Source organism: Homo sapiens, chromosome 14, assembly GCF_000001405.40.
Source record: "Homo sapiens chromosome 14, GRCh38.p14 Primary Assembly".
Classification (NCBI taxonomy): Eukaryota; Metazoa; Chordata; class Mammalia; order Primates; family Hominidae; genus Homo; species Homo sapiens.
The window spans coordinates 84,698,215-84,711,388 of NC_000014.9; the positions used below are offsets into that span (position 1 = coordinate 84,698,215).

The window sequence follows — 13,174 nt, forward strand, 5'->3', positions numbered from 1 at the left end:
ATTTTCAAAAACAAACCAGTAAAGTCTTTATGTCTTTGCATCTCTACTGATAACCCGCTTACCTAAATCCCCATTTTTCTCTCACCTGGATTAGTTAAATTATCTCCTAATGGTTGTATCTCTTATCCATTTTCAGTGTACTTTTTAAGGAAATAAATCAGCTCCTACCTTGCTCCTTCTTAAAATTCTTCAATATCATTCTTTGATTTACAATGCAATTCAAGGTCTGCAACAGGATGACCTATTAATCCTACCTCCCACCACTTTTTCTCTCTCTACTCCAACTCCAGTAGTAATCTGAGTTAGTTTTCATTTTCTCAGACACAGACGCTGATAATCAATATAGGAAGTTCACATTTTTTGCTCCTACCACAAGCACTTTTCCTAGTTTAAACGTAACATCCTCAGAGGCTCTACTTTAAGCCCAAGTCTAAATTACCTCTTGTTATGAATCAGAACACTCTGCTATTTATCTTTATACTATACACCATAAAATGTACTATTGTTATGTTTGTCTCTTTCTAAAAGAAGGCCAGGTAAGACAGGGTATCATCGACCATATTTCATTCATCATTTGATATCCAACATCAACTATATTGCCAACTACCCACTAGATGCTCAGTAAGTGTGTGTGCACTTGAGATAATTGATAAACTTGCCTTCCCAAAATTTCTCTAATTACTATATAGGCAATGTACATTAAGAGGCAATATCATCCACTTGTAATACCTTTGAAAAAGGCAAGGAATCCCCTAAAGATGTCCATACACTAATCCACAAAATCTGTAAATATGCTACATTAGATGGTTAAAGGGACTTTCTAGCTGTAAATAAGGGTAGGGAACTTGTGGTGGGGAGATTATCCTGCGTTATTCAGATATGTCCAATATTATTACAAAGGTCCTTAAAAACGGAGGCAGAAAAGGACAGTCAGAAGAAATGTAACCTCAAAGAATGATTAGAGACAGAGAGAGAGAGAGAGAGAGGCCTTAAGGATCAAGGAAAAAATCATGAGCCAAGGAATGTGGGCAACTCTTAACAGCTGAAAAAGACACAGAAATTGATCCCCTAAAACCTCCTGAGAGAAATGCAGTCCTGTCAATATCTTAATGTTAGCCCACTGATACCTATATTAGACTTCTACCCTCCAGAACTATATGATAATAAGTGTGTTTTTTGAGCCTCTATGATTGTGGTAATTTGTTACTGCAGTAATAGAAAACAGAAAAGGCACCTTTAATTAAATGCTTTCTGAGTAGTACTTTATTACCATATATAGGAGTTCCTGAACCTTTTCTCAGTCTCTAAGTAAAAAAATACTCAGCAATAGAGCTATAGAATCATTCTAAGTCTCTAAGTCTTGCTTTATATATTTTTTAAGGTCCTGGGACAGGTCACACCTTGGCCCTAATTGTTCACACTCAGTTCATTTCAAGGCAAATAAAACAAGTTACTAGCTCATTAGCTGATTGAAAATTAGATGCCTATTTATTAGCACCTAGTTTCCAGGTTGAATTATAGCTGTTTAAAAGAGAGACAGCCAGCAGCTGTAATTCTGAGCACCTCTTGCTATTCAGAGAAACCATGGCTTATCACTAAGCTATCCTTGTCAAGAATGACCATCAAAGTAATCAGCCACAGAGTACTACCTACATTTTAGAAAAGGTGAACTATTTGGGTCAACAGCAAAGGGGAGCTTGGGATCTATTTGCTTTCTTTTTTCTCCTCATTTTGGTTTTTTGTTTGAAAATTCATTGCATTGTTTTCTGCTTTGATTTACCACGCTTTACAAAATAAATTTCAAAGAAAAATTGATAGAAGTATTTCCATGCCTTCCTCCTCAGAGGAGTCTTCCGAGATCTCTATAAAGTACTTCCTCTGTGGGAACAGAGCACACAATATAGATCTTACTGTACTCCACTGAAAGAGATATTTCAGTGAAGTCTCACTCTCAACTCCTGTTCCTAAGTGTTAAATTCTTTATGACATCTTTTCTCTTAAGCCCCTTCTAGCCATTCAACAAAGTTAAAGCTTCTGTAAAATGAAAATTCTATGGCCTGAATTAAAAGAGGCCTTGAAGAACATCTAGTCAGCCCCATGAGGACTTCTAATGACTTTTCCATTTAATTACACTTGATGAGAGGGAAGAGTCTAAACCCACAGCTCTGTTCCGATATTTCTAGAAAGGCTTATATTTTCCTCAAAAATTTAACTACACTTGTTGAAAGAGAAGAGTTTAAACCCAGAGTTCTGTTCTGATATTTCTAGAAAGGGTTATATTTTCCTCAAAAATTTATAAAAACTTTGACATCCTTGACAGTATACATTTGTGTCTGCTATATTTTAACTATAGTGCCTCCTCAGTCTCCTTCAAAATTTTAGGTTTAATAGTTTCTAAGATGACGCATCACATTTTTCTTACATTCCTTGATGTATTACTGAATTATTCAATTTGAAAAACATTTCCTTATATTTATATGTGTCATGAACTGACAACAAGTAGTATGTATGACTGAGTAGGTTGTGTACATCTGACCCATAATATAATTACAGAATAATTGAAATATGTAACGATGTTAAAAAGTCTGCCATTGCAAACCTAACAAAAACAAGCAATGGGGAAAAAGAATTCCCTATTTAATAAATGGTGCTGGGAGAACTCGCTAGCTATATACAGAATTTTGAAAGCAAACCCATTCCTTACACCTTATATAAAAATTAACTCAAAATGGATTAAAAACATAAATATAAAATGCAAAACCATAAAAACCCTAGAAGAAAATCTGGGCAATACTATTCAGGGCATTGTTGTCCGCAAAGATTTCATGATAAAAATGCCAAAAACAATTGCAACAAAACGAAAAATTGACAAATTGGATCTAATTAAAGAGCTGCTGCACAGCAAAAGAAATTATCATCAGAGTGAACAAGCAACCTACAGAATGAGAGAAAATTTTTGCAGTCTATCAGACAAAGGTCTAATATCCAGAATCTACAAGGAACTGAAACAAATTTACAAGAAAAAAAAAGTGGGTAAAAGACATGAACAGACACTTCTCAGAAGACATACGTGCGGCTAACAAACATATGAAAAAAAGCTCAATATCACTGATTATTAGAAAAATGCAAATCAAAACCACAATGAGATACCATCTCAAGCTAGTCAGAATGGCAATTATTAAAAAGTCAAAAAACGACAGATGCTGATGAGGTTGCAGAGAAAAAGAAATGCTTTAGGTGGGAATGTAAATTAATTCAGCCATTGTAGAAGACAGTGTGGCAATTCCTCAAAGATATAGAGGCAGAAATAACATTTGACCCAATAATCTCATTACTGGGTATACACCCAAAGGAATAAAAAACATTCTATTATAAAGATACATGCATGCTTATGTTCATTGCAGCAGTGTTGACAATAGCAAAGACATGGAATCAACCCAAATGTCCATCAATGATAGACTGGATAAAGAAAATGTGGTACATATACCCCCCATGGAATACTATGCAGCCATAAAAGAAATGAAATCATGTCCTTTGCAGGGACATGGATGGAGCTGGAAGCCACTATCCTCAGAAAACTACTGCAGGAATAGAAAACCAAACACTGCATGTTCTCACATATAAGTGGGAGCTGAATGATGAGAACACATGAAACATGAGGGGTAACAACACACACTAGGGCCTGTCGGGGTTGGGGGATGTGGGGAAGGACAGCATCAGGAAAAATAGCCAAAGGATGCTGGGCTTAATACCTAGGTGATGGGATGATCTGTGCAGCAAACCACCGTGGTACATGTTGACCTATGTAACACACCTGCACATACTGCACATGTACCCTGAACTTAAAAGTTAAATAAAAAGTCTACCATTCAAGGATGAGCACTCAGTACTAAACTAATATATGTCTCCATGGGCCACATATTTCAATGTGAATAATTTTTACAAATTGGCATAAATAGAGTAGTATGGTTGCATTTTTCAGAATTAGTGTGAAGCAATGAGCAGAAAAGATTGGAACAGAATGTTGAGGAAGGAAAGAGGTGTCTAGCGGTTTGAGACTTTCATACAATGGCGTTGGAAATTCACTGGCAAGTGAAGGAGCCATTTTAGTTTTGACAGTTAAGCACCTGTGATACTGACCTGCAACAGCGATTCTCACACTATCAGAATAGATCACACAGCATCAGAACTGCTCAGGGGTCTTGTTCCTGGATTCTATCCTGGGGTTTCTGATTCAGTAGGTGTCAGGTGGAGATGAAAATTAGCATTTCTCATGAGTTCTTAAGTGGTGCTGACACTACTTTTCCAGAGATAACACTTTGAGAACTACTAAGCTAAAGGAACTGAGCAGGTGAATTTGGTCTGGTTTATTTTTAACTATGTAATTGGGAACTCCAAGAAAGAAAAAAGAAGGTGGTAGCACTGTTTTTAGGCCAAGGTGGTAAAATACAGTTTGTTTGTTTGTTTGTTTGTTTTTTATTGAGACGGAGTCTCGCTCATTCACCAGGCTGGAGTGCAGTGGCATGATCTCGGCTCACTGCAACCCCCACCTCCCAGGTTCAAACGATTCTCCTGCCTCAGCCACCCAAGTAGCTGGGACTACAGGTGCCCACCACTATGCCCAGCTAATTTTTTGTATTTTTAGTAGAGACAGGGTTTCACTATGTTGGCCAGGATGGTCTCGGTCTCTTGACCTCGTGATCTGCCCACCTCGGCCTCCCAAAGTGCTGGGATTACAGGCATGAGCCACCAAGCCCAGCCAAAACACAATTTTTATAATCAATATTATAGATTAGTATCACACTAAATAGAATAAAATAGACCCTCAGTGATATATATATATATATATATATATAATATATATACACACACACACACACATATATATACACACTATACATATACACACATATATACTATATATACACATATATATATAATGTGCTTTTGCAAAGGCTGAACTAGACCATGTAGGATGATTTCATTGTTTTATCTTTTCCAAGTTTACTTTCCATAAGACATGTCTTTGTCCAAGAGGTGGTATATCTTACCTCCTTTCTTGTACAGTACTTTAAGGTTAGTGGAGGAATATATTTCAAACCCTGGGTTCTCGTGGTAAACATCTCTTTGGATGTATTTACAAAATGCCAAGTTCTAACTGTGGACTTTAATATTCTAATTATCCTCATAGATGAATGAATTTTTACCACTACTCACCCAGGACTGTACATTATTAACAGAAAAGTTTCATCTTCAAGATTAGTTAGTGATACGTTAATGTTTTCTATTTTTTAATGCTGCTTGCAGAACTTCAATAGCCTCCCATTGTCCTATACCTATAACTGAAGAACTTCAGACATACAGATGCAGTCCCCCTCTTTCTGTAGGTTCCTAAGGGAGGTATGTAATGAAGCCCTCAAGGTAGAACATACCCTAGTTTTCATAACACACTCACAGCATGGAAGCCAAGACAACTCCCTCTCAGATGCTAATCCACCATGTTGACTTCTGAGGAAGCCCAGTTCTGAGACGGCCTCTAAGATTTCCAGTTTATCTGTTGTTCTTTATGTAAGAGCACATATTTACCATAAATCCTGCCCTTAGGTTAGGGCAGTCTTGATGTTATCATATTTCAGTTGTCTTACACATCCCTTCTGAATCACCCTTTCTCTATTATATATAAACCCAGGGTCTGGGGGTATCAGCATGGAGATCATGGGGATCCACCATCTTGTCTCATTGCAGTCCTAGACACAGACATGGCCTCTGTTTGTAAGTCCCTATTAAAGGTTTATTTATAAGAAACTGAGTATGTCACCCTCTTTTTCTGGCCCCTCAGTTTCCTTGGACTTCGGGGTAGGTTTGCATAGACCTGGCCACCGTGGAATATACGGGAATCTATCATATCTAGTGACCAGCAATAGCCTATTAGCAAAAAAAAAAAAAACAAAAACAAAATAATTGGTTTACAGTATACAGTAAATAAAGGGAGACATATTACCTCTACTTTCCACTTTCCCTCTCTTCAATATCCAAAAGTAATCTTGGAGTATAGTTGTTAGTTATTGCTTTTATTTAGTACCTAGAAACAAACTAAAGTTGTGACCTTAGGTAAGCATAGTTTAACTGTTTAAAACCATGTTAGAATATTAAAAATTAATTGACTTCATATTCCATTATGTAGATATGTGTATAGTCATGTAGGCACAAATTTATTTTTCAGAGCACCTCTGTGGAGTTGAGGCACAAGAGACAATTCTATAAATCATATTCTCCTAAGACTACATTGATACGGTCTTCCTTACATGATTTTTTTCTGTTTTTCCTTTGACCACTTTTCTTATCTATCTATATTTTATCAGTTAAAAAATTAATTTTCTCTTTTGGGCAATTTTCATACTTTTCCCAATATTAAAGTCATTAACCCTGTAAGTATATACATGAAAGATGATATATTCACATATACCAATCTAGTTTTTCTGCTAATGATGATGAACTCATAATGCTGGCATGAGTTTGCCTTCTGGGAACATAAATTCTTCATATTTACATTTTAGAGAACATTCTTTTATAATTTGAAAGAGAGAAAAATTTAAAATATTTTTATTTTTAGGGTAGAGAAAAATATTTAGAATTGCTATCGCATGACCATGAGGTGAAACCGAGGAATTCATATAGGGGATGAAGGATCAGAGTGGATGTTAAGTAACTGTGTATGCAAACATGTCTGTTTTCTTCTGCTTATGCTCTAAAAAGTCATTTTAGATAAAATCCAAATATATTCAAAGCCATTTCCAAAATCTTGAATTTGTAGTTATTTTTGTTTCTCATTTGAATTGAACCTTATGAAATTCTAAACTATTGAAGATTCAAAAATGCCATTCTACATAAAATCTGTGGCTGTGAGATTAAAATGAATTATATAGATTCTAAGAGTTTATGTCGTTCAATTGTAAGATAAGTAGTTATACTATTGAAAAAGATTCTAACAGAACAATTAATCAGGCACCAATTATCATATGTGTGAGCTCCATTGCCTCTAAGTGATTATATGAGGAAGGTGGAAGGTGAAAATAAAACTGGAAGAAATATCCCCAAATATGTATTTTGTTTCACTAATTCAAAAAAACAAAATTAAAATTAAATGGTCTCTATCCAGTTTACTTATATCACCATGTTCTGATGTTTTAAAACTGTAGATATATTATAGCCTAATTATCATCATATCAGTAGCTACTATCTGGGTCTAGAATAAAACTGGCTTTTCAGAAATTTTGTTTCTAATATGCAAGTTAAGTAGAAATCATTTACTGTATTGACTTTATTTCTTCTACATTTGTACTGAATATTTATATGTAGTTAAATCACATAAACACTAAATTCAGCCCTCTAGAATTTGAACCTTGTAATCTTAAAGCATCAGTGTGAACTGTAGTTCTTTGTGTTAGTTTAACATAACATAAATAACAAGTCACACTAAAATAGGATTAAAGTTTTGCATGCTTTACACTCCAACAGTCAATGAATACCACAAAATGAAGAATAAAAATAATCAAACCCCTGTTATACAACAAGCTCCTGTAAAATAGACTCTCTTTTGGTAAAGTAAAAAAATGTGATTTATAATTTCATTTCTGGCCAGTTATTGAATGTCAATTATTGTGTACTCTGTATTAAAAAAAATCTTGTCTATCAGTTTAAATTCAAGTTCATTGATTGCATAAATAGTGACTGTGCCTTAGATATATGTGATCAATGATCTAATTTACCCAGGCTATGGAGAAACCACCTGAAGGAAAAAAGAAAAATCCAGGTTTTAACAATAAAGGATACATGATGGTCTTCTGATTTGAATAAGAAAGCTTACTTTCTATAATGCACTTATTTAAGAGCTTCCAGATTGAATATTTTGATGGAAATGACTGGTCTATTTTAATGAACTAGATTAATTTATCCAAATATTCAATTTCTATTATTATTTGCTTATTGATCAGTAATTAGAGAATGATTCAATTATGGAGAATGCCAAAGAAACCATTAGAGATGCAAACACATTCTTCACAACGTATTTTTAAAAACACATCTAAAATGAAAAACAACATAAAACTTTTGCCCACCCTACTTTAAAATGTATGTTTCCTAAACTTTTTTTCTGGTTTTAATGCACATCACTAATGCTAATGTGAAATTAATCGCAGTTTTTTTTAAACTTTAGCATTCAGGGTATGTTTTCTGCCTTAAAATTACATATAAATAAAATATTAAAGTTTCACACACTCACTTGCAAATTAGCATGTGTGTATGTGTTACAAAAGGAATTTACATAAAACTTACTTATGAAAAAATCTACCAAAATTCTTGAGGTAGGCCACCCTTGTTTACTGAAAAAATCTAAATGTAAAGTTTCCTGTGTTGAAATAATTATCGAGACAAATATGAAAGAGTCATTTCATGTTGGTGAAACCTATTTGTTATCACAAATCTTTCTTTAAAATAGATTAGGCTGAAAAAGGTTGAATTAGAATTTTAGTTTTTAGCTTATGCCCATTTCCTCACAATTACTAATGTACTCAAACAGGAAACTTGGTCTATTCAGAAAAAATAGGGTAGACAACAGTTATTGTTTTGTTAGTAGGAACACATTGAGAGCTAGCTAGATGATCAAACATACACATGCCCAGATTTCCTGAAAAATGGTTCAATATCACTGCCCTTTTATCATACAAATTCAGGCACGAATTTCCTTTAAAATTTCCCTTTCTTTCCCTGTATTTTTAATTGGCATTGTTACTTGAACTTTCCCACTGTTGCAGGACATCAGTAAGTACAGCATCAGCTACTGGTGGGCTCAAATATTGATAATATCAAAGCACAACCCTGGTGTAGAGAATCCCTCCATTCATAGATTTCCTCACTCCTCACCATCTCCTTCACCTGAACCTCATAGCCACTTTACCCAACTTTTGTTCATGTTATCTCAGTTTTTCTGTCTAGACTTCTTCCACAGATAATAATTGACCACCAGTTCCAGAAATCTTGCCCTAATTTCTATTCCACAGGAATGGGCTTCTGAAACGTAGTCCTAATCACTGGTTGAGACTTAGCCCTCATTTTCTTAGCAATTGGCATCTTAATAGATGAGTCACCACAAACAGTACCTGACTCTTAATTACTGTCAAAATCTTGAGAGAGTCTCCTAAATTCAAATAACATGTTTTGTCCTCTATATCGCTCTCCTTTTACTTGGTGACTCTTCCTCTGGTCTCTAGATATCTATCACATCTTAGAAAGACACCCATTTACCCCTTTGAAAAACAGAAGGAATCTAAGGATGATCACAGATAAATTTGTGAATCTTTCAATATTGATCTTTAGTAACCTTCTAGCTGCTGCCTTTGAATTTGAAACTGGTGGCCTGTCTCTTTGGAAGGCTCCATCAACTTTCTTTCTTTTGCTACTGCCAGTCACAGACAATGCTTTAAACTTACTTTCTTCATTTCCCCTTCTGGAAGAAAATACATTAATAGTAACTAATATTTATGGATTATGTCATAGTTTCTAAATGTGGATATTGCATCTATATTGGTCTATTTTCACGCTGCTATAAAGAACTGTCCTAGACTGGGTAATTTACAAAGGAAAGAGGTTTAACTGACTCACAGTTCAACATGGCTGGGAATGCATCAGGAAACTGACAATCATGGCAGAAGGCAAAGTGGAAGCAAGGTCCTTTTTCACATGGCAGCAGGAAAGAGAAGAGTGAGTAGTGAAGGGGGAAGAGCCCCTTAGAAAACCATCAGATCTCCTGAGAACTCATTATCATGAGAACAGCAGGGGGGAACTGCCCCCATGATCCCGTCACCTCCCTAGACATGTGGGGATTATGGAGATTACAATTCAAGATGATTTGGCTGGTGACACAACCAAACCATATCAGCATTTCTACTTTTCTATTGAGTATAATTCTTGCACAGATTTATTGTTATTTTAAAGATTAGGTAACAAAAATGCACAAAAAAATTATTTTCTGAAGATCTTAATGATAGTATGAGAGAAATCAAAGATGAATATTTGGTCTTGTCTTTGCTGATGTTATGCTCTTTTCATTACACATTCCATTACTAATTATATTCATGTTAATAAATGTTAATTAAAGACAGGATCTCAGAGGTGTTGGTTGCCTTATGTTATTAATCTTTTATAGTTCACCTTTCCTCCCACACATTCCTATCCATCTCCCTTCCCCACATGTGGGAAATCTCAAACATTTGCAATATGTCAGCAGCATCAATTTTATTTTTTTTTTCATTGGGGGCCATGATGTTTTACTTGGAATACCATATTTAAATTCAACTTCAGGCAAAAGATTATAGTTTTAAATTTTCTAAACCAATTATATTCTTATTCCGCATGAGTCTTATTCTAAAATACCTAGAAATTAAAGAGACAACACCTTAACAGAACAAGTAGAACACACTGAACATTACTGATGAAATAATGGGGTGCAGAAAGTGCTAGTAAAAAGGCTTGTTTGGACTTTTAACATCTTTATAAAACTGCTCACTTTAAGTGCAGAAGTAAAAATATAAATGATAGGGTCCTGTGTCCTTAGGCCTTTGTCTATCCCCTGGCAGGGACATTCTGTCTGTCTGGAAGTACTATTTGGTGGATTTCTCCTTCAATACCTCTTTCTGTCTTCATGAAAGTACAGTATAAAGAATCTACCGGCAGTAAGTGATGCATGGGTAAGCCCTGTAATGATGTACTACACATTCCAGGAACCGTTCATCTGCTCTTATTGCTTACAAGCTGAACCAATTTGGGGATAAATATTTCAACACTTCTTAACACAGTTTTGCTGAGCTCAACAATTTACCAATTTAAGCATACCAGAGACTCAAATACTTTGTATATATTGGGTGGAGGGAGCAGAGAGAAAGAAAGAGACAGACACAGAATGGGAAAGGAAGAAGGAGAGGAATGAAAGCAGAGAGAGAAAGAGAAAGAAAGAGAAATATTTCTGGAGGGAAATGACCATTTCCATGAAAGAAAATACATAATACTTTCTCTATTGCACTGTACTTTCTGGAATTCTCATTCAGATTCTTTTTCAATCATTTTCTCAAGCTGAGTGTCCAGGGAACATCTTTCATTGGCTCACATGTTGGTCTGTTCGTGCTGCACAAGTTATAAGACTGAAGCTCCATTAATACCTCAATTACTTTTCAGCACTGGATGGCCATGAAAAATTCAAGAGATAAGAAATACAGCTCCATGATGGAATGAATATAAGGATGTGTCCCCTAAAAAAAAGTTCTAAAAATTTCTTCTAAAGATTTTTTTCTTATGCCTCCATATTTTTCTTTTATTTTTATGTAAAAACATAACTTTTCCTTTCACTGAAAAGCGATTATATTCTCAGGTGCAATGAGAGTCAGTATCTGTTTTTTTTTTTACCTTTTAAAATATAATTTAAATACAATATTTTATATTTTCTATTTATATTAAAACTATTTGTACAAATAATTTCAAGTGATGAATGATACCTCAAGGCTTGTTCAGAACAGAGTTGGCACTGCTTCTCCTTCTCCATGTCTCATCCCTTACAGCAAACCCCTTCTTTTAGATTATTTTGGTGTATTCTCCTGTATTTGCAAAACATGTAATTATGTCACTCTGTGTATCTCTCTGTGTGTATCTCTCTCTCTCTGTCTCTGTCTCTGTCTCACTATTTCTCTCTCTGTCTCTCTTCCTCATTCTTCCCAATTCAAATCAATCTGTTAAGTTTCCACTATGGATGTTGGAACCTCCCCAGTTATCACACATGCCCTTTCTTCTTCCATACCTCCCACTATAATAATTGTACAGTTTTGGATTAGAAAATGTTCATTGTTTTTATTATGAACATGTAACCATCACTCACCACTGAGGCATGCAATATGCATGATACCTTTCTAACCCTGTGCAACGTTTTCTTATTTTCTTGTTTATTGTTTGCATACTTATGTCAAACTCCCCTTCAGTTATCTAGATCTTTTCCTAATATGCTCTACCACACTGGAGTTGTGATCAGTTTCTCCTTTTTGAAAAAAAAAAAAAATCTATCCCAAACTTGTGTGCTGACTGCATTGGGTCTTTTCCAGGCATCTCAAGGGTCACCCTTTTGGCTTTGGCCTTCTTGGAAATCCAAGTGAGACCCTTCAATTCTATGCTCATTTAAAAATCTCCTCTTTCCTCTATTTGGTGTTTTTGTTTTCTTCCTTGATTTATTCCCTCTTTTTGGTCGAGCACATACCCTAATAGCCTTCTGAAGAAGAATGCACAACAGATTAATTATTAGAGTCTTTGTCTGCAAGTATGACTTTTCCTTTGGATATTTGAAGGTTTGTTAAATTTCTAGCTTTGAGAGCTTTGAGTGTTGCATATGAACATCAGAATCATTACTATTTCTTATCTTTAAGTGTGATTTCCTCCATCTCTGAAAGCCAAGAATTTGATTTTCTTTGAACCAAGTGCTATAAGATGTCATGATGACTATCTTGACTTATGTTGATATCCACCTATTGGTGTGAGCATTCATTGATCTCTTTCAGTCTGAAAATTCATGACCTTCAGATCTTAGACATTCCTTGAATTAATTTTCTTGCTTTTTTTTAATAATTTCATTTGCTGATCTTTGTTTTTATGAATTTTCTTGCATTCTAATGCTGGATCTCTTGCAATAGAATATTTGGTGGTTTTTGCCTTTTGGGTTTTTTTAAAAGTCTAATATTTACCTTTTTGTGCCTCTACACTCAGATTTCTAGATTTCTTTAACTTTACCTTGCAAAAATTCTCAAAAGTTTTTCATTTCTCCTGTTGTATTTTGAATTCTCATAAACTCTTTAAATGTGGTTCACAATGATCTTCTCTGTACCCTCTTGATCATTTTTCATAGGTACAATATTGGTAATTTTCTGACATTATTTTCTTATAAACTGTTTGTGCCTTTGGGTTTTTTCTTTTTGTGTTTACTTAGGCTCTGCCTTTGATATTTAAGCTTTCCTCTGCTGCATCTTGATTCTTGACTGTCTGCTTATGTTTAAGAAATGTAAGATGCTTGATAGGAAATCCAGTAAGTAGGGGTGGGCTTGGTAATGGTGGTTCCCATTCTAGGAAGATAAGTATGTGCTGT

General features: G+C 34.9%; 1 annotated feature.

Moving 5' to 3' along the window:
• Positions 9,532–10,063: an enhancer, noted in NCBI's record as "OCT4-NANOG hESC enhancer chr14:85174090-85174621 (GRCh37/hg19 assembly coordinates)". NCBI's record gives its function as "activates a minimal SCP1, AML or CMV promoter by ChIP-STARR-seq in naive H9 embryonic stem cells {active_cell/tissue: H9 hESC(naive)}" and the evidence as "EXISTENCE:reporter gene assay evidence [ECO:0000049][PMID:30033119]".